This window comes from Homo sapiens, chromosome 14 (genome assembly GCF_000001405.40).
Source record: "Homo sapiens chromosome 14, GRCh38.p14 Primary Assembly".
In the NCBI taxonomy this organism is placed as follows: Eukaryota; Metazoa; Chordata; class Mammalia; order Primates; family Hominidae; genus Homo; species Homo sapiens.
The window spans coordinates 40303126-40324262 of NC_000014.9; the positions used below are offsets into that span (position 1 = coordinate 40303126).

Sequence of the window (21137 nt, forward strand, 5' to 3'; positions counted from 1 at the left end):
ATTACATAAATCAACCCAATTAAACATATTATTAAATGTTATTTTTAATTCAACAATGTTTTCACTGGCTCTTGATAAGACAAATTAAATGACAAGTAAAACCATGTATTACATGTGTCATTTTAGAAACGGAAAAAGCAAGATCAACACCAAGATATAAATTTTCATTACATTGTTAACTTACAGTAATAACTATCTTTACTTTCTTTTATAAAATGAAGTTCTATATGCTTTCTCATCCTCCAAGAATCATTTAAAGAAATATAGAATGGTTGCAAAAACGTATTAAACATTTTGAAGAACTCTATAAGTACAAAGTACACTCTGTGTTTATAATTGTTGTCATGTAGGAGTGAAATAGATAATTCCCAATTCTCTCAAATCTGTCAGTGGGAGATTTTTCTAGTTCTCATACTAAAATGCTATATAAAACTTAAAGCATTATGTAAATTTAAAATAAATTAAATGAAACTGGTAAATTCAGAGTTTGAAAAAATAACCACAGAAGAAAACAAAATTGGCCATTGTACTATCCTCCATTTTCATACTATGGCTCATAAATTTTCTGGCTGTATAAAAGACATGATAAATAATATGTCAGTTGTACTTTTTTCTCTAAATTACTTAACAATAACTGTCTTGGAAACAGCTAAGGTCATTGACTGGGTTGGAGGTATAGATAGCTAGTTAAAATTGGACAAGAACTAGTTGATATTTCTGTTATCAAAGAAATAAAAGAGTCATTTATTTACTGTACTTATCTATGCTAATTAGTCTTTAGGACAATGTAGGTTACTGCAGTGGAAAAATTATGTTAGTTTCGCTAAGCTTCAAGGTCCTATCAGTAATATGAGAATTTCTAAGTTACAGTCTTATAATACTGTATTCATGTAACTAGTGACTAACACAATTCTTGGCAAAGAATTGATATTCAATAGATGAGAGCTTCTGACATTATTTTTATTATTATATTTTATTGATCATAAATTAAAAATTGCTACTAGGTTATAACATTTAGTTTAATAAAAGCATCTAGGTCCAAAAACTTACAAACGTTGCTGCTAAGGTACAGACTGATGACGTTTTTACTCCCTGGAAATCAGGTTCTCCATTCTTTCAGAATAAAGTACATTTGCAAATTGTACCAGCTTATGCAAATTCCAGATAAAGTTCTAATTTAAAATATGGTTTTCTTTTGTACTCCTTGGGAATGTGATTCTATTCATTACTATCTACCCTTTCACATCACACTCAGAGATATATAAATATATTGTAGGATACTGCCATTATTTTAATTTAGAAGATTTTAAAATCTTGTCCTGAATATTGTCATTTTGAAATATGATTGTGTTTAAAGCTATGATTCCTTTTTACTGGATGAGCCTGCTGTCTTGCAGGGCCAATCAACATACATTACATTTTTAGAAAATATTTAAATAGCCAACAATATGTTTCATCCTTCCAAATTGAAATGAAGTTGTATCAGTCTCATATTTATTTTAGAAAAAATAAAAATAAGATTTGTTGTTAGATTTATGGTTTTTATATGACACATAAATGTAACCAATAGATTCATTAAAAATCATTTTTAAAATAGTAAATTAATGGAAAAAGAAACTCAGTTTGTTTAATTTTGGCCAGACAAAGAATTTATTTAATTACTTGTTTGTTCGAGTAATTTTTCACATATGACCTAATCACAATCATTGTTTCATGCATTAATTTGCATTTTTCTCATATAGGAATGTATACATGTATATATTTTATATTTTTCATTTTTTCTATAATATGTTCTTCATACTCTAGATTATTTTCCATAAATTTTAGCCCAGGCAGTTGTTTCTAAAGCAAGATATTTTCAAACTACTTATCTTGGTGTTTTAGTAATTCTAGTGTCTTAATATCGATTGCTTATACACAAGATGAAAGAGGTTATTTTCAGGGTGTCATTGTTTTAGTGGCCTTGTTTAAACTGCTCAGCAAAAAAAGCCAACCTGAGTGTCTGTTTACTGCATTATAAATTGCCTGTGTGTTGTATATTGGCATTAGGAACAGACTGAAAAATGGATACTATAAGGTGGAACTTCTTGAAAGTGTAAATTTCTGAGATCCTAGAACATCACATACCCCAGAGAGATCTATTTTGCCTTGGAATGTAGTTTAAGAACTCTGTTCATAATATTGTAGGAATTTCTTCTGCCAAACACTTGTATGAGGAAGAAGAAATATCCGTTTGGATTGTTTAGGAAATTCAGATGGGAAATTGAATTTTGAGATACAAGTGATATAGTTAACCTTTAAAGAAGTTTTAAAGTATATAATATAAAACAAATTTTTACAAAAATTAGAGATAAAATGTTAGAGCTTACTCTGTTCTACATTATAAAACGTGACTAAAGCTTGCTGCAAAACAAGGGTAAGATTATTTTCCTCTTGTTAGTATACTGATACATATCTTTAATATGTCTTATATTTTTGTGTCTCTGGCTTTCAATTTTCTTCCTTTCAGAATATGTTTTGCTCAAATTTATTAAATGTTACTCGCTTTTGGAAAGAAGTTGAGTTTAGTGATTCAACTGACTATGTTGAAGTTAAACTGGAGTTATGAATAAAATATTGATCCAAAAATTGTTTTACTGTGAAAAGCAACATTTTATAAAGTATTTTACATAAGCCGTACTCAGTGTATATTTCTTGAGTAAAGCTTTAATATAACTAGCATTGATTAAATACAACCTTTTAGTATTGATAGCAAGGAACATAGTTTGTACACTAAAGCATTTTATTTCTATTACCTTGCTTGTTCTTTCCTGGTTCAAACAAGATTGTCTAGAGAAACACTATTATTGCCTAATTTTACATATTGGGAGGCTGAGCCAAAAACTACAAGTAACTGATCCAAGCTCATTCAAGTCTATTGTTGTAATTCTTTATTAGTTCTGTAGCTTAGACAGGAAGCTCCTGTTTCTTTACGCACAAGGAACATAAGTAATATGCATTTAGTTTAAAATGATGATGGTGAGATGCTCCCAAAGCTGAATCTACATCCTTTATATGTTTGTTAGTTGTGCTGTTTTGTCGGACCCCAGTGTTTCTGGGATCCCTTAGCATCAACTAAAATGATTAAGAAAATAAAATATTTTACTGATAAAGAATCCTTATTTCTATGTATTCATTGAGATGAAACTGTAACTTCTGCCTGAGAGGTAATGACAGCAACATTATGTTAAGGATTATTAAGGATGAAAAATGTCTGAAGGAAGGAAGAAACTGAGAAGTCTGTCTCATCCGAATCTCTCCTAGTAAAATAGTCATCTGTTGCTTTGCTGCCTGGTATCTGTTTAGCTTTCTGAAAACAGCACTCTGAATCTTTGTGTGGGAATTACCCTTTATCCCATTAAATCCAGTGAGAGAGTCCATGCTCTTACAGCTAAGGAATAGGCATGAGACCCGAGCTGCAACAAACAGACTTAATTTGCTGGGAATTTGAACTTTGAGCAAAGCTAGAGTGAAAAGACTGAGGAAGGCTGAAACTTATTCATCTACATTACTTGATGGTACCCTGAAGAGACTTACCTTGCTTTCCACTACCTAGTCCACCGAATAATTCTCAGTTTGGTTTTTGACAAATTATAAAGCATTCTGATATGGGTTGGATTTGTGTCCCTGCCCAAATCTCATGTCAAATTGGAAGAGAGGCCTGGTGGGAGGTAATTGGATCATAGGGGTGGATTTTTCCCTTGTTGGTATTATGATAGTGAGTGAATTCTCATGAGATCTGATGGTTTAAAAGTGTGTGGCACTTCCATGTTCACTCTTTCTCTCTCCTGCTCCACTATGGTAGATGTGTTTGCTTTCTCTTCCCCTTCTGCCATAATCATAAGTTTCCTGAGGCCTCCCAGCCATGCTTCCTGTACAGCCTGCAGAACTGTGAGTCAATTAAACCTCTTTTCTTTATAAATTACCCAGTCTCATGTAGTACTTTATAGCAGGGTGAGAACAAACTAATACAGAAATGGTACTTTGAGTTGGGCTCTGCAATAAAGATCCTTGAAAACGTGGAAGAAACTTTGGAACTGGGTAATGGGCAGAGGTTAGAATAGTTTAGAGGGCTCAGAAGAAGGCAGGAAGATGTGAGAAAGTTTAGAATTTCCTAGAGACTTGTTGAATGGTTTTGACCAAAATGCTGATGGTGATATGGACAATGAAGTCCAGGTTGAGGTCGTCTCAGATGGAGATGAGGAACTTATTGGGAACTGGAGTAAAGGTCACTCTTGCTATGCTTTAGCAAAAAGACTGGTGGCATTTTGCCCATGCCCTAGGGATCTGTGGAAATTTGAACTTGAGAGAAATGATTTAAGGTATCTGGCAGAAGAAATTTCTAAGCAAATAAGCACTCAGGATGTGACCTAGCTTATTCTGAAAGTGTTCAGTCATATGTATTCACAAAGAGGTGGTCTGAAATTGGAACTTATATTTAAAAGGGAATCAGAACATAAAAGTTTGGAAAATTTGCAGCCTGACCATGCAGTACAAAAGAAAATCCCATTTTCTGGAGGGGCATTCAAGGCTGGAGAAATTTGCATAAATAAAGAGGAGCTGAATGTTAATAGCAAAGACAATGGGCAAAATGTCTCCTGGGCATTTCAGGCACTCCCTAGTGGAGCTGTGAGAAGACAGCCATTATCCTCCAGATCCCAAAATGGCAGATCCACCAACAGCTTAAACCATGTGCCTAGAAAAGCAGCAGGCACTCAATGCCAGCCCATGTAAAGCTGCAGGTGCTGTACCCTGCAGAGCCACAGTGGTGCAGCTGCCAAGGCCTTTGGAGCCCACCCCTTGCATGAGTGTTCTCTGGATGTGAGACATGGAGTCAAAGGAGGTTTTTTTGTTGTTGTTGTTGTTTTTTGTTTTTTTAGCTTTAAGATTTAATGACTGCCCTGCTGGGGTTTGGACTTGTATGAGGCTTGTAGCCCCTTTGTTTTGGCCCATTTCTCCCATTTCAAATGGGAGCATTTACACAAAGCCTGTACTCCCATTGTATCTCAGAAGTAACTAACTTGTTTTTTATTTTACAGGCTCATAGGCAGAAGGGACTAATCTTGTCTCAGATGAGACATTGAACTGTAGAGTTTTGAGTTAATGCTGGAAACAGTTAGGATTGGGGGAGTGTTGAGAAGAGGTAATTGTGTTTTGCAATGTAAGAGAACATGAAATTTGGGAGGGGCCAGGGGCAGAATAATATGGTTTGAATTTGTGTCCCTGTACAAATCTCATATGGAATTGAAGGAGGGGCCTGGTGGGAGGTGATTGCATCATACTGGTGGATTTCTCCCTTGCAGTTCTTGTGATAGTGAGTTATCGTGAGATCTGATGGTTTAAAAGTGTGGCACGCCCCCCTTCACTCTGTCTCTCTCTTGCTCTGCCATGGTAAGACATGTTTACTTACCCTTCACCTTCTGCCATGATTTTAATTTTCCTGAGGCCTCCCAGCCTTGCTTCCGGTACAGCCTGTGGAACTGTGAGTCAACTAAACCTCTTTTCTTTATTAATTACCCAGTCTTGGGTAGTTCTTTATAGCAGTGTGGGAACAAACTAATATACATTCCATTTAGATTTTTGAGCTATCCACTATCTTTTCAATACATCATCTTTCTGATATTAGCTTAGCTTTTATCAATTTCAATTGGTTGAGTAACGAAAATAATGCCTTAAAATGTTAAATTGCTAAACTTTTTACTACTCCCACCCCATAAATTACTCCTCAGTTCCATTCTTTCATCACAACACCAGAGAGGGAGTAGAAGTATGAAAGATATGTGTTAAGGAAGTCTAGGTGAAAAAAGATTAAGCAGAAAATCTGCGCCTTAGTCCCGCATAAATTTTTAAATGAACAGATGTGAAGGGAGGGTGACAAGTTTTGCAGTAATCTCCTCTACTGTGTAAGACTGATCTTACTGAAGAAAGGAGTATACAACACAGTTAGAGGGAAAGGTCAAAGAAAGAAGGCACTTTTAATTCTCCAACTATCTGTTTTGGAGTTTGGCAACTTTGACAAGCTAGGACTATGACAAACTAAGACAAGTACAGTTGAATATAATCTGTGCTGTGGTGTGTTTATCCAGGCTGAATGCTTTCATTTAACTTCTCTGAGACTACCCTGAATGTCAGTGGCTCCAGTGAGACACATAAAATATCATAGTTCCTTTGTGTGCTGTGTTGCAAGATGTGATTCTGTGATCAACAGTACAGAGGACTCATTCAGGATAGAGTATGAATAGAAGTCACAGCCAAATCTCAGGGGATCTGAAGCACTACCAATAGGTGAAATGAGATTAAGCCAATATATAGGGACTCCTGGAGCTGATCTAGTGAAGAGTAAACCATTCGCAAATATCAAAGAGGTGAACAGTTAATAGGAAGAATTGATGTCAATGTCACCAAGGTCAGAAGGAGCAGTTGTTCTCTCAGCAGAAACTAATCCTAGCTAGCCACTTGGAAGCAGAGACCAAAAAGAAGCCAGAAGGCTGTGACTAATGGGACTGTATCCTTTTCTGAGACCTTAAGAGCACACAAATCTTTTCCATAGCTCTGTATGTCATCTTGGGGAGGATAACAGAGAGGGATCAGGAAAAAGAGAGATTAATTATTTAATAATTTGAAATGAAAGAGGCTGTAATATCATAAATTGGCTAATTTAACACTTGTTCTCTTTCTCCTTTTTAATCTATCAGATCATTTGTAGCTACAAAGCAAGAGAGGAAGTGACCAGTACTGACTTAGACAACACAGGTTTATTTTTATCTATATAACAAGAATTAAAGAGGTGGGTCATTCCAGACATAGCGCAGAGATCAAGATGATAATTTGGAGCGCATATGCCTCTTACCTTTTTTTAGTTTCCATCCTTAGTACGTCAGCAAAGTCTTTCCTCCTGGTTGTAATACAGCTACAACAGCTCCAACCATCACATTCTAAACACATTCAGAAACGGGAAGAAGAAAGCAGGTGACAAACACATTGAGAGGTGGGTGACAAGGACAAAGGGTGTGAGAAAGACAGCCTTTCTTATATACCTTTCTCTTTTTATTAAGATAAATAGTTTCACTTCAAAAATTTCAAGTAGATTTTCCCTCGTGTTATATTGTCTACTCCAAGTTGGAAATGCAGTAGGAAAGGGAACATATGGTATTTTCATCCTTCATGGTCAGTGAAGGCTCTGCTAGCACGGAATAAGTGTACCTGCTGCATTCATGTCATCATAAAATCCTTACTAGTCTACTCTTTCCATTAAATCAGGTAATCAAGACTTGATAGTAAGGCTGTGGGGGTAATGTTTTACTGTGGAAAAAAACTAAAGTTTTACTCAGAAGTTGCTGGATCAAGTCCTATCTGTGCAATGTACAAGGCATGTGACATTGCATGTCATGTAAGCTTTCTAAATAGCCTCATGTTAATTTGCAAAATGAGGTAATCAACATCATATTCATCACTTGAAAGAGATAATGCATTTAATTGTTTTTATATTGAAAATTTTGTATAGGATGACTTTCATTTTTATTTGTATTCATTCATTTATTCAATAAATGTTTGTTTAAGAACTACAGTTTGCCAGGCACTGATATAGGTTCTGGGGATACCACAGTGACAAAATAAAGTCACTGCTGGCATGGAACTTAGTTTCCAAGTGGGGGTTATGGCAGGAGATGGGCAATAAAGAGTAAACATATTATCTGATATTAAATTAAAATGTAAGTTTCATGAGAGCAGGGACTTTTGTCTGCTTTTCTCAGTGATTAGAACAGCATCTCGTACATAGTAAGCACTTAGTAAATAAACCAATGGTGATAAACGTTATGAAAAAATATAACAGTGTAAGGTGATACAGAGTGACAAGTGGATACTACTTAAGTTGGAGTGATTGATTTCATCCTCTTAGATGATATTTCAATGAAGACTTGATTGCATTAAGGATATCTGGGAAAAAAACATTCTGGGAGAGGGAACAGCATGCACAGATTTTCAAGGAAGGGAGAATGCTTGGCACATTCGAGGAACAATAAGAAACCCAAGGGGAGGGGGATGGTAGGAGATGAAACCAAAGTGGTAGATAGGGGCCAGATAAGTTAGGGCTTTGTGAATGGTAGGCAGGGCTTGAATTTGACTACTGGCAATGAAGAAGATGGGATGCCACAAGAGATGTGTCATGATATGACCTGTAAAAATATCATTCTGGGTGATTTCTTTAGCAAAGACTGTGGAAGGGCAAGCAACGCTATAATTATAATTGTTATCACACTATTACTATTATTTTATGATTGACTTTTTTGCTTTCCTTATTGAGAAATATTATTCTTTGAAAAGTAAGTCACTCTTTCTGCTCTGAACCTATTAATTCAAAGGAAGAAAACATAAATTTTTAACCATACCAAAAGCTTTTTCTTTCAATAACCTCAGTTAATAGGAAGTGAAGAAGTCACTTTGCCTTAAATGAATTTTATTCCCAGAACCCTTGTTAAATGAAGTATTACTGAATATTGCTTTTGAAATAAAATTATGCTATAAACCTGGGGTGAGGGCAAAATTTTATTACCAACAGAACAAATGTTTTATAACAGTGGTTGCATGAGCATATGAAAACATTTGCAGACAAAAAACTCTATTTACTAAATCATGTAAAAGTCTTTAAACTGCTTTTCAGAAAGGCTATTTAGAAAAGACTTTATGCAGTATAAAAGCTATCTAGTTTTTTAATTTTATGATCGTCTAAAGTCAAAGATAAAAAATTAATTTTGGTTACACTTTTAGTTCTCTACTAGGTTAATAAGATGTCATGAACCCTTCATTCTATAAAACACTAGAAAATAAAACAATATTCTAAGTATTTACTAAAGAAGAGACAGAGACACATGTGACTACTTCTTGACAACTGTTACATAAATTTTAATGTAAAAACTGTAGGACTAACAAAAATCACACCAAAATTAAAATGGCTTTATTTGTATATTTTATTATAATATATAGTTACAGGATTTGTTTTGTTATTTAAAATGGTATGGGAACTAAAGCGGGAACATGCTGTATGAGTGAACAATTTTTTGTTTTTAATTTGAGATTTTTAACTGATAGCTATTCATGAAGATTATGGTAATAAAATATATGTTTCTTCTGACTCACCCATGAACTTTTGATAACATTTGTCCCCCCTTACCTGTTAGGGACCCATTCCAAGACCCTCAGTGGATTCCTGAAACCATGTATAGTACTGAAGCCAAAGCCTATATATACTATTTTTTTTAATCTGATAACCCAGGTGGCAAATAAGTGACTAACATGCAGGTGGCATATATGGCATGGATACTTTGGACAAAGGGACGACTCATATCCTGTGCAGGGGAAGCAGGCTGGCATGAGATTTCATCACATTACTAAGAACGGTGCACAATTAAAAAATTATAAGTTATTTACTTCTGCAACTTTTCATGTATGAATAATATTTCTGGACTGCCATTGACTGCCTGTTACTAAAACTACAGAAATGGAAATTTTAGATAAGGAAGTACTACTGTACTTATTGTAGGAGTGTGGTGCTGATAATAAAAGTTATGCTTTTGTAAAATGATTAAATAGAATTTGTTACAAGGCTAGGTGTATTTCACCAATACTTTCCAGGTGCTGGTTTTTAACTGGAGATGATATCAAATAAATGAACTGTTTTTATGCTTATAAGCATCTTCTGTTAAAATGCAAGTAATCCTATAACTTCTTATGAATGTGTTTAATCAGATTTCCTTATAACAATGTTTTCAGGAACTCTCTGAAGATGGTGATTTGCAGTTGGAAATAGGGAAGCAGGGAAGAAATAAATTGAAAGCTTGCTATAGTCTGAATGTTTGTATCTCTCCAAAATTAATATGTTGAGATCTAATCCCCAATACATTGGTATGAAGAGGTGGGGTCTTGGGGAAGTGACTGGGTAATGAGTGATCCACCCCCATGAATAAGATAAATGCCCTTATAACAGAGCACCCAGAGAGCTGCCTTGCTCTTCTGCCATGTAAGGTCACATAGACGGTGTCATTTATAAGAAACGGGCCCCCACCAGACACTGTGAATCTGCTAGTGCCTTGATCTTGGAATTCCCAGCTTCTAGAACTGTGAGCATAAATTATATAGTTTATAAATTATCAATTTTGTTACAGCAGTCGAAATGGATTAAGACAGGGTTGGTTTTTTTGTTTTGGGTGAAAATATTTGAAAACCTGTTTGTTACATGCAGATTCAAAGGATAGAAAAAATAAGTTGTCTTTTAAATGACTATTTGTGCTCTTGAGAGCAAATAAAAAATTATCAAAAACAGATATAGAAAATGTAAAAATCGTGATGCTCTGGCTTCCTCGGGGGGTTGGATTCCATCTCATTGACCTGGGAATTGGGTTGTTAAAGCATCTATATGAAACAGGAGAGGGATCTCAGGCCATGGGGGAGGTAAGTATTTGAGGGGCTGAAAATGACATTCCTTCTTAAAGCCACGAAAAGATTAAGTTCTACACGAATAAAGAAGTATATTCACCAGCCACCACCCCCACAAAAAAAAATTTTCATCTTCAGAAGATTTTGAATAGAGAATACTTATTTTCTATGAGGATTCTTACCCATAGCCTACATTTCAAATATGTTAAGATTGAGATTTTTCATTATATACATTGTCTTATATCACCAGAAGAATAATTCCAAAAATTATCAGCTATTATGTTAGTATTTATTTTTACTAGTTCTCTCTAGAGCTTTTTTTCTGTAAGTTCGTTTATATGTTACCCTTATAGTATCCATTTATCTTAATTTTTTACCCAGTTGTCATCTCTGCTACACAGGACCCCTATATATCATGTTTTATTAAAGATTTTCATCCACTTATTTAGACACATATTAGAAAATTATCTGCCATGAGTAAAAGTAAGCATGATTACAACAAGAGAAATACAGAAGAAATGATTATTTTTCAAGCAATTTGTATATTAAAACCGTGAAGAAAAAAATGTAAAAATTCAAATCTGGACAAAAGTAAAATGGAATGTCTAAAATGTATTTATAAAAAATATTATTGTTACAAACTCAGTGGGTCATTAAGCAACATATCAAATACAGCTAATAAAATGACCTGATATTATTTACTAGGATGCAGTTTAGAGAAATACCGAGGTGAAAAGTAAGTGAGAAATTAAGAGTTGTGGAAGATAGGTTGGCAAGGTCGAAACAACATCTCAGAGGAAGGTAATAGAATGGATGAAGGCTATGTATGTTGACAAAGAGGCTGATAATTTTCTGGATTTAATAAAAAGCAAGTGTTTTTGCAGTCAACAAACAGAGGAAATATATAGAGAAAAAGTAAAAAATAAAACCATCTTATAAAATTTTACTGAAATGTAGAGTACAAAAATGAAAAACAGCCCTAATAAAGGACATACTAGTTACAAATTAACTGGTTGCAAATAACCAACAGCAAAAATAATAATACAGTCCAGAAGATAAAAGAATAACAAATTCAAAATGTTAAAGCTGCAAAGATAAATTAGCTGTCAACCTAGACCCCTGCACTCAGTTAAATTGTTAATTAAGATTAAGAGTAAACCAAACATATTCTATTCAATAAAGACTTAGTGAGGCTACTGCTCACACAGCATCCCTGAAAACTATGATTCAGGGAGAAAGAAATTGAATTCAAAAGGAAGAAATGAGATGCAAGCAGGAAAGTTGAGCAAATAAATTAGTAAACCTAAAACTACGATAAGAAAAAGTGAAAATAGTGACTCACATTAATATGTGAAAACAAGGTTATATAAAAGTAATTTTTGAAAAGTCACAAGATGATAATTTTACTTGAAGTTCTATAAATTGTTTATAGTACTTAACTTAAAAATTTTAATGTCAAAGGTACAAATTCAAAATTTAATTATATTCATAAAGACAAATTAATGGAGTGTATAATATTCAAAACAGTGAAAGAGGAGGAAATAAAACATATGAGCAACCAAAATTAAAAGGAAGAAATAAATTTTAAAAAATTGAAAGTATAATAAATTTCAAAAAACTAGCTAAGAATAAATGCACATGCATACTTGCTTTATTACACTTCACAGATACTGCAATTTTACAAATTAAAGGTTTGTGGTAAACTTGAGTTGAACAAGTCTATTGGTGCCATTTTTCAACAGCATGTGCTCACTACAAAAATGCCTCTCTGGGTCACATTTTTGTAATTGTTCCAATATTTCAAACTTTTTTATTAGTATCATACCTGTTGTGGTGTTTTGTAATCAGTAGTCTTTGATGTTACTATTGTATTTGTTTCGAGGCTCCGTGAACAAGCGCTCATATAAGACAGCAAACTTAATCCATAAATGTGTGTGTTCTGACTGCTCCTTCTATGATCTGTTCCCTGGTCTCTCTCCCTCTCCTTGGATCCCCTCATTCCCTGAGACACAACATTACTGAAATTAGGCCAATTAATAACCCCACAATGGCCTTTAAGTGTTCAAGTAAAAGGCAGAATCGCAAGTTTCTCACTTTAAATCAAAAGCTAGAAATGATTAAGCTTAGTGAGGAAGGCATGTTGAAAGCTGAGACAGGCTGAAAGCTAGGCCTCTTTCCCCAAACAACCACATTGTGTATGCAAAGGAAAAGGTCTTGAAGGAAATTAAAAGTGCTACTCCAGTGAAGACATGAATGATAAGAAAGCTCAACAGCCTTATTGCTGATATGGAGAAAGTTTTAGTGGTCTGGATAGATCATACCAGCCACAACATTCCCTTAAAACAAAGCCTAATCCAGAGGAAGGCTGTAACTCTTCAGTTCTGTGAAGGCTAAGAGAGGTGAGGGAACTGCAGAAGGAAAGTTTGAAGCTAGCAGAGTTTGGTTCATGAGGTTTAAGGAAAGAAGTCATCTGCATATCACAAAAATGCAAGGTGAAGCAGCAAGTTGTAATGGAGAACCTTCAGTAAGTTATACAGAGACCTCTCTAAGATCATTGATGAAGATGGCTACACTAAATAGCAGATTACCAAGGTAGACAAAACAGCCTTGGAAGAAGATGCCATCTAGAATTTTCATAACTAGAGAGAGAAACCAATCCTCTTCAAATCTTTTGAATCCTTGCTTCAAAACTTCAAAGGATAGGCTATCTCTCTTTTTAGGAGCTATTTGAACTAGTGATTTTAAGTTGAAGCCAATGCTCATTAACCATTCTGAAAATTCTAAGGTCCTTAAGAATTGTAGAACATCTACTCTGTCTGTGTTCTATAAGCGAAACAACAAAGCCCGAAGGACAGCACATCTCTTTAAAGTATGGTTTACTGAATAGTTGAATCTCACTGTTGAGACCTACTGCTGAGAAAACAGATTATTTTCAAAATAATGTGGTTCATTGACAATGTACCTCACCATGCAAGAGCTTGGATGAAGATATCCAAGAAGATAAATGTTTTTATTCCTGCTAATGCAACATCCATTCTGCAGCCCATGGATCAAGAAGCAATTTTGACTTTCGAGGCTTATTATTTTAGAAATACATTTCATAAGGCTATAGCTGCCATAGATAGTAATTCCTCTGATGAATATGGGCAAAGTCATATTCAAATGAAAATTTTCTAGAAAAGATTCACCTTTCTATATGCCATTAAGAACATTTTTGATTCAAGGGGAAAAGTTAAAATATCAATATTAACAGGAGTTCGAAAGGAGTTGAGTCCAACTCTCATAAGCAACTTTGAGGGGTTCAGAACTTCTCACTATAGATTTGGTAGAAATAGCAAGAGAACAAGAATTAGAAGTAAAACCTGAAGATGTCATTGAATTGCTGAAATCTCATGATATAACTTGAATGGATGAGGATTTGCCTCTTTTGGATGAGAAAAGAACGTGGTTTCTTGAGAAGGAATCTATTCCAGATTTGCATGCTGTAAACATTGTTGAAATAACAACAAAGGATTTATCAACTAAATTCCATCAATTTGATAAAGCAGCAACAAGGTTTGAGAAGATGGACTCCAATTTTGAAAGAAGTTTTACTATGGGGAAAATGCTGTCAAGCAGCTTGGCATGCTACAGAAAAATCTTTTGTGAAAGGAATAATCAATTAATGTGTCAAACTTCATCATTGTCTTATTTGAAACAATTGCAAAACCTGCTTAACCTTCAGCAACCACTAGCCTCTTAAGTCAACAGCCATCAATATCAAGACAAGACCCTTCATCAGCAAAAATACGATGACTTGGTGAAGGCTTAGATAATTGTGAGCACTTATATTTAGCAATAAAGTATTTTTTGATCAAGGTATATATACATGGTGATATGAATTAGCTATGTCCCCACCCAAATCTCATCTTGAACTGTAGCTCCCACAATTCCTGTGTTTTGTGGGAGGGACCTGGTGGGAGGTAATTGAATCATGGGGGCAAGTCTTTCCCATGCTGTTCTCATGATAGTGAATAAGTCTCATGAGATCTGATGGTTTTACAAGGGGGAGATTCTCTGCACAAATTCTCTCTTGTCTGCCGCAATGTAAGATGTGCTTTTTGCCTTCCACCATGATTGTGAGGCCTCCCCAGCTATGTGGAACTGTGAGTCAATTTTTCTTTATAAATTGCCCAGTCTCAGGTATGTCTTTATCAGCAGCATGAAAACATACTAACACATATAGTTTTGAAAACATATTATTGCACAAGATAGACTACACTATAGTGTAAACATAACTTTTTTATGTACTGAGAAGCCAAAAAATTTGTGTGACTCATTTTATTATGATATTTGCTTTATTGCAGTGGGCTAGAACTACACTTAAAATTTCCTATGTTGCTTATATACGGGAAATTATTGGAAACTGTAATTGGATTACACTTGTATGTGATAGATATCTCAGATTTGATTTTTCAAAATAGTTGGCAGTTAAGGGGCTTAAAAATGATATGTTAGGCAAACCAGAACATGATGAATACTTATATGGGTAAATTAATATGAATATCAATCTAGATATAAGGGCAAAATAAAACAAAAACTAAGCTTACATTACTATGAAGAATGTGTAGTGGATTGTATTTTCCAAAAATGGCTGCAAGAATGTCTGTCTTCTTAAATGTTCTTTTAGAACTTTGCTAAGGCCCTAGGCAATGACAGTGAGGGTTATTTTCCTGCCCACTGAATCTCAGCAGAGCTTTGTGCCTACCTTGATGAATGGAATGTGGTAGAATGGAAGCTGCATCACTGGTCAGGAAAGGTGACATGACTTTTTTTGGTGCTGTTTTTCTTGATACAGTTTCCCTTGGAATCCAGTCACCATGCTGTGAGGAAATCAAAGCCAAAGGGAAGTTTCACATGAAGAGCAATCAAGTCGTTTAGCCCTCAGCCTGATGACCACCCTACTGACTGCTGCCCGTGTGAGTGAGCCATCATAAAAGCAAATCCATCAGTTTTCAACTGAGCCTCAGTTGAGGATGCCTGGGATAGAAACAAGTCTCTCCCATATAGATCTTTCAAAACTGCATGTTGGCAAGCCAAATAATTATTGTTGTTTTATGCTGCTAAGTTTTACAGATGATATGTTTTCTATTTAGCACTATATAATAAAAGCAGAAAGTGACTTCATAATAATAAAATAGCAAATTCAATAGGAATATGCAATAAATTGAATATTTGATAATAATATATCTTCAAAATATATGGAAAAAATTGGAGAATCAAAAGAAAACATTTGTAAAAAATTTTAATATGTATATGTGTTTATATATTTGTTATAGATCATTTAAACAGATATAATATTAGAAAAAGTGTAGAATATTTGACAAATATGTTTAACAAATTGTACATAGTACACATATACAGTATCCTGTTTCCATGTATTAAAAATACATGTTCAAGCATTTAAGAATCATAAATATATTGTAATCGAGGAATCTCAATGGATACTAAAAATATAATGAAATACCATTAATTCCATTCATAATAAGCAAAGTTTACAATGTAACAAAATATTAAATCAATAACATAAATGAAACCTAAATGCATTTATATCATAAATTTAGAAAAAGAAAGTAGGCTGCAAAATAATGATATGTTAAAGAAATAATTAAGTCAGAATCTAGCAATATATTTAATGTTAAAAAATAAAGGAAACATTACATATTAAATAGTATGTGATGAATAAAGCAATATTTAATGCTAAAGCTTATAGCTTTCAGTATATATTAAAAGGAATAAAAATCGCAATTCAATAATCTAAACATCCCCATATAAATACTTCCTAAATGAACAAAGAACATAAACAAGCAGAAGAAAGGGAATAATTGATATGAGTATATTACATGAAATAAAAAACAAAGATATTTTATTACTTTCTGCAGCTGTTTAAAAATCTTTGTTAAGGAATAAATTTTTTCAAATAAAATCAAGGAAAACATAATATTAGAAATAAAAGGTAACTACAAAAGGGATTAAAATATGAAAATGTTTATGAAAATATAATTAGAAAAATTTGACTAGATAATTTTAGGGAAAAATATGATTTTTTAGAGTAATAAACACTTACAGTAGACCTACAGCCAGTAAAGTATTTAAAATCTGTACTAAAGTTACTTCAGGCACAACTGTTTTGTCTCTTATTCCATGAAAATAATCTAATCTATACAGTGTCTCCTCATTTGATATGCCTAGAATAGACTTAATAGAGAAATTAAGTAAGAAAAAGTGGAGAAAAGAATAATGAATCTCAATCCCACTTGTGAATATAAATACAAAAGCCATCTAAAAACACTATCTAAATAAGGAAAATAGCCTTGATTTAATGCAGGGTTGCTACAAAAGGCCTATAGTTTTACTGTTATTTGTGAAATTCCACAAACTAAACAAGTAGCTGAGAAGCGGTAATAAAAAGAGAACTAAAATCACCTAGAGCTTAAGGATGAGCTTGCTGTCAAATAACAAAACAAACAAACAAACAACCAGCTAGAGCAAAAAAGACATATAAGAAGGGAACATAAACAAGAATGACAGCAAATTTATCATCACAATCAATTCAAGGCATAAGATATTAGGGTAACATATTCAAAGTAAGCAAAGGGTTAATATTCAGAATACAGTGAAGACCTCACAAAGAAGTAAAAGACAACCAACACAAAATTAGCAAATAATATAAAATGATTTACAGAGAAATAAATCCAAAAGGCAAATAACTGTGAGAATATTTAACTTTAGTACTAATGAGAGAACAAATTAAACAACAGTATATCAAGCTGAGTCACACCTATTAAAGCAATGTCACCAAGTGTTCATGAGGATATGAGGGAACAGGTAATTTTATGAGTGGTTGGAGTGTAAATTGAGGCAACGACTTGAGGGGGCAATTGACAAAATACCTAATAATGTTGTAAATGTGCGTACACAAAGCCCAGAAAGTGTACTCCTAGATATACATTCTAGAAAACCCTTCATATATAAAGCTATATTTATCTTAGAGAAAACTTCACACTTAAAAGAATGTACACTAAATATTATTGGAAGTTCTGGCCAGGGCAGTCAGGCAAGAGAAAGAAATAAAGGGTATTCAAACAGGAAAAGAGGAAGTAAAATTGTCTCTGTTTGCAGTTGACATGATTGATTGTATATTCAGAAGGCCTCATTGTCTCAGCCCCAAATCTCCTTAAGCTGATAAGCAACTTCAGCAAAGTCTCAAGATAAAAAAATCAATCTGCAAAAATCACAAGCATTATATACACCAATAACAGACAGAGAGCCAAATCATGAGTGAACTCCCATCCACAATTACTGCAAAGAGAATAAGATACCTAAGAATACAACTTACAAGGAATGTGAAGGACCTCTTCAAGGAGAACTACAAACCACTGCTCAAGGAAATAAGAGAGGACACAAACACATGGAAAAATATTCCATGCTCATGGATAGGAATAATCAATATCGTGAAAATGGCCATACTGCCCAAAGTAATTTATAGATTCAATGCTGTCCCCATCAACCTACCATTGACTTTCTTCACAGAATTAGAGTAAAGCTAATTTAAATTTCATATGGAAGCAAAAAAGAGCCCATATAGCTGAGACAATCTTAAGCAAAAAGAACAAAGCTGGAGGCATCACGCTACCTGACTTCAAACTATACTACAAGGCTACAGTGACCAAAACAGCATGACACTGATACCAAAACATATATATAGACGAATGGAACAGAACAGAGGCCTCAGAAATAACACCACATATTGACAACCAGCTGATCTTCGACAAACCTGACAAAAACAAGCAATGGAGAAAGGATCCCCTATTCCATAAATGGTGTTGGGAAAACTGGCTAGCCATATGCAGAAAACTGAAACTGGACCCCTTCCTTACACCTTATACAAAAATTAACTCAAGATGGATTAAAGACTTAAACATAAGATCTAAAACCATAAAAATCCTAGAAGAAAACCTAGGCAATATCATTCAGGACATAGGCATGGGCAAAGACTTCATGACTAAAACACCAAAAGTAATGGCAACAAAGGCCAAAATAGACAAATGGGATCTAAATAAACTAAAGAGCTTCTGCACAGCAAAAGAAACTATCATCAGAGTTAACAGGTAACCTACAGAATGGGAGAAAATTTTTGCAATCTATCCATCTGACAAAGGGCAAATATCCAGAATCTACAAGTAACTTATACAATTTACAAGAAGAAAACTAAGGGTCCACCAAAAAGTGGGCAAAGGATATGAACAGACACTTCTCAAAAGAAGACATTTATACAGTCAACAAATACATGACAAAAAGCTCATCATCACTGGTCATTAGAGAAATGCAAATCAAAACCACAATGAGATACCATCTCACACCAGTTAGAATGGTGATCATTCAAAAAGTCAGGAAACAACAGATACTGGAGACGATTTGGAGAAATAGGAATGCTTTTACACTGTTGGTGGGAGTGTAAATTAGCTCAACTATTGTGGAAGACAGTGTGGCAGTTCCTCAAGGATCTAGAACCAGAAATACCATTTGACCCAGCAATCCCATTACTGGGTACATACCCAAAGGATTATAAATCATGCTGCTATAAAGACACATGCACATGTATATTTATTGCAGCACTGTTCACAATAGCAAAGACTTGGAACCAACCCAAATGCCCATCGATGATAGACTGGATAAAGAAAATGTGGCACATATACACCATGGAATACTATGCAGCCATAAAAAAGGATGAGTTCATGTCCTTTGCAGGGACATGGATGAAGCTGGAAACCATCATTCTCATCAAAGTAACACAGGAACAGAAAACCAAACACTGCATGTTCTCACTCATAAGTGGGAGTTGAACAAGGAGAACACATGCACACAGGGAGGGGAACATTACACACCAGAGCTTGTCCAGGGTGGGGGACATGGGGAGGGATAGCATTAGGAGATATACTTACTGTAGATGACGGGTTGATGGATGCAGCAAACCACCATGGCACATGTATACCTATGTAACAAACCTGCATGTTCTGCACATGTATCCCAGAACTTAAAGTATAAAAAAATGTACACTGAAATAGTTTTTCATAGCAATGTCAAGAAAATTTAAAATGAGGGGAAAAACCTATATTTCAGTATGATAAATGTATTTAGAACAAAGGAAAACAAATGCTCCGTTTTCTTTATGTATTGGGACATTATGTGTTGTAGCAGTTAAGATGGGTAAGATGTATCTTTAAGTATCATTGTGGGAAAAAAATCTCAAAAACACTATTGATTGATTGATTGATTTTTTTTGAGAGGGAGTCTCACTCTGTCACCAAGCTGAAGTGCAGTGGTGTGATCTTGACTCACTGCAACCTCTATCTCCCTGGTTCAAGCTATTCTCTTGCCTCAGCCTCCTGAGTAGCTGGGACTACAGGCACATGCCACCATGCCTAGCTAATTTTTGTATTTTTAGTAGAGACAAGGTTGCACCATGTTGGCCAAGATGGTCTGGATCTCTTGACCTTGTGATCCACCTGCCTCAGCATCCCAAAGTGCTGGGATTACAGGCATGAGCCACCACGCCTGGCAAAAAAAAAAAATTAAATGAATAAACGAAATTGCCAGTTGCTGTAGTATTACATAATTTTTGTAATGTTTAGCAACATGCACATCAGTAGAATATATTCATTCTTCCAAATCCAGTATAAGTACAGAAACATGAGAGAGTAATGACATATTTCGGAGTCATGTGTAGGTTTTTGTGTAGCATAGCAAAGTGTCCTCAGTCAGTTAGTAGTGTGACCAAGCATCAAATCATAGATAGATTCTACCTTGAAATCAAATCTAATTAACAAAGAGTTGTTAATTTTTCCACCAGCTGATCAACCAGAGTTGTTAATAAATACAGCAGAATTTTATTCTGTTATATTGGTAGAAGAAACTAAATTTATGTGATACAATATGTCACTGAAATACATGTAATTTTTAAGTTTATAATAACATTCATAAATTATAATAAGATTAATATCTAGAGACAAACTAATATTAGAGAAGACAATTTGAATTATGTATGAACATACAGAGACTACAATTTTCTTACAAGTAAATTAATTATATTAAAGCTGTAGATATTAATCAATTTTTTAAATTTTCTGGGATCAAGTATTCATAACTTAAACTATGACCAAAACAACTAACATTCCTTTAATAAATATTAATAGTGCCCATTTTACATAGCACTATTTTTGGAACAAAATGATTTTGTACAGTTCTGAAATAAAGATCTGGAAATTTGGGGGATAACTGACATCCTCACATCCCATGTCCAGAGCTCTGCACTTTCGCTATGCATGAGCGAAAGCTTATACATTTCTTAGATGGCATTTAAGAGTTGTAAAATACAGAACCTTTATACTGGGTGCCGTGTCTTTACTGCTTTCCTTAGCTAGACATGTGGCTAATTCCCTCACTATCTTCTAGTCTTTGCTTTTCAAGAAGGCTTACTCAAACTACTTTATTGTATTTTCAGTTACAACTCTTTCCTACCACATTCTGATCTCCCTTATCTTTCTCTGTTTGTTTTTTCCCTCAAAGCATGTAAGATTTTCTAATATGATTTATAATTTACTTATTATGTACTTTTTGCTTAC

General features: G+C 34.3%; 2 long non-coding RNA genes across 3 annotated transcripts in view; one reads left to right on the plus strand and one right to left on the minus strand.

Annotated features, from left to right (window-relative positions):
- LOC105370463 (uncharacterized) overlaps positions 1-21137 on the minus strand; it is a 117571-nt gene that overhangs the window by 72119 nt on the left and 24315 nt on the right. The window contains exons 2-3 of the long non-coding RNA XR_943786.3: positions 15221-15335; positions 6890-6974 (exon numbers count right to left, since the gene is read on the minus strand). This is a non-coding gene — a long non-coding RNA (uncharacterized LOC105370463). The remainder of the gene's footprint in view (positions 1-6889; positions 6975-15220; positions 15336-21137) is intronic.
- Positions 15237-21137, plus strand: part of LOC105370462 (uncharacterized) — a 72153-nt gene continuing 66252 nt past the window's right edge. The window contains exon 1 of one of the 2 annotated variants that reach the window (XR_007064129.1): positions 15237-15431. This is a non-coding gene — a long non-coding RNA (uncharacterized LOC105370462). The remainder of the gene's footprint in view (positions 15432-21137) is intronic. The other variant, XR_943784.3, reaches the window with a different exon arrangement.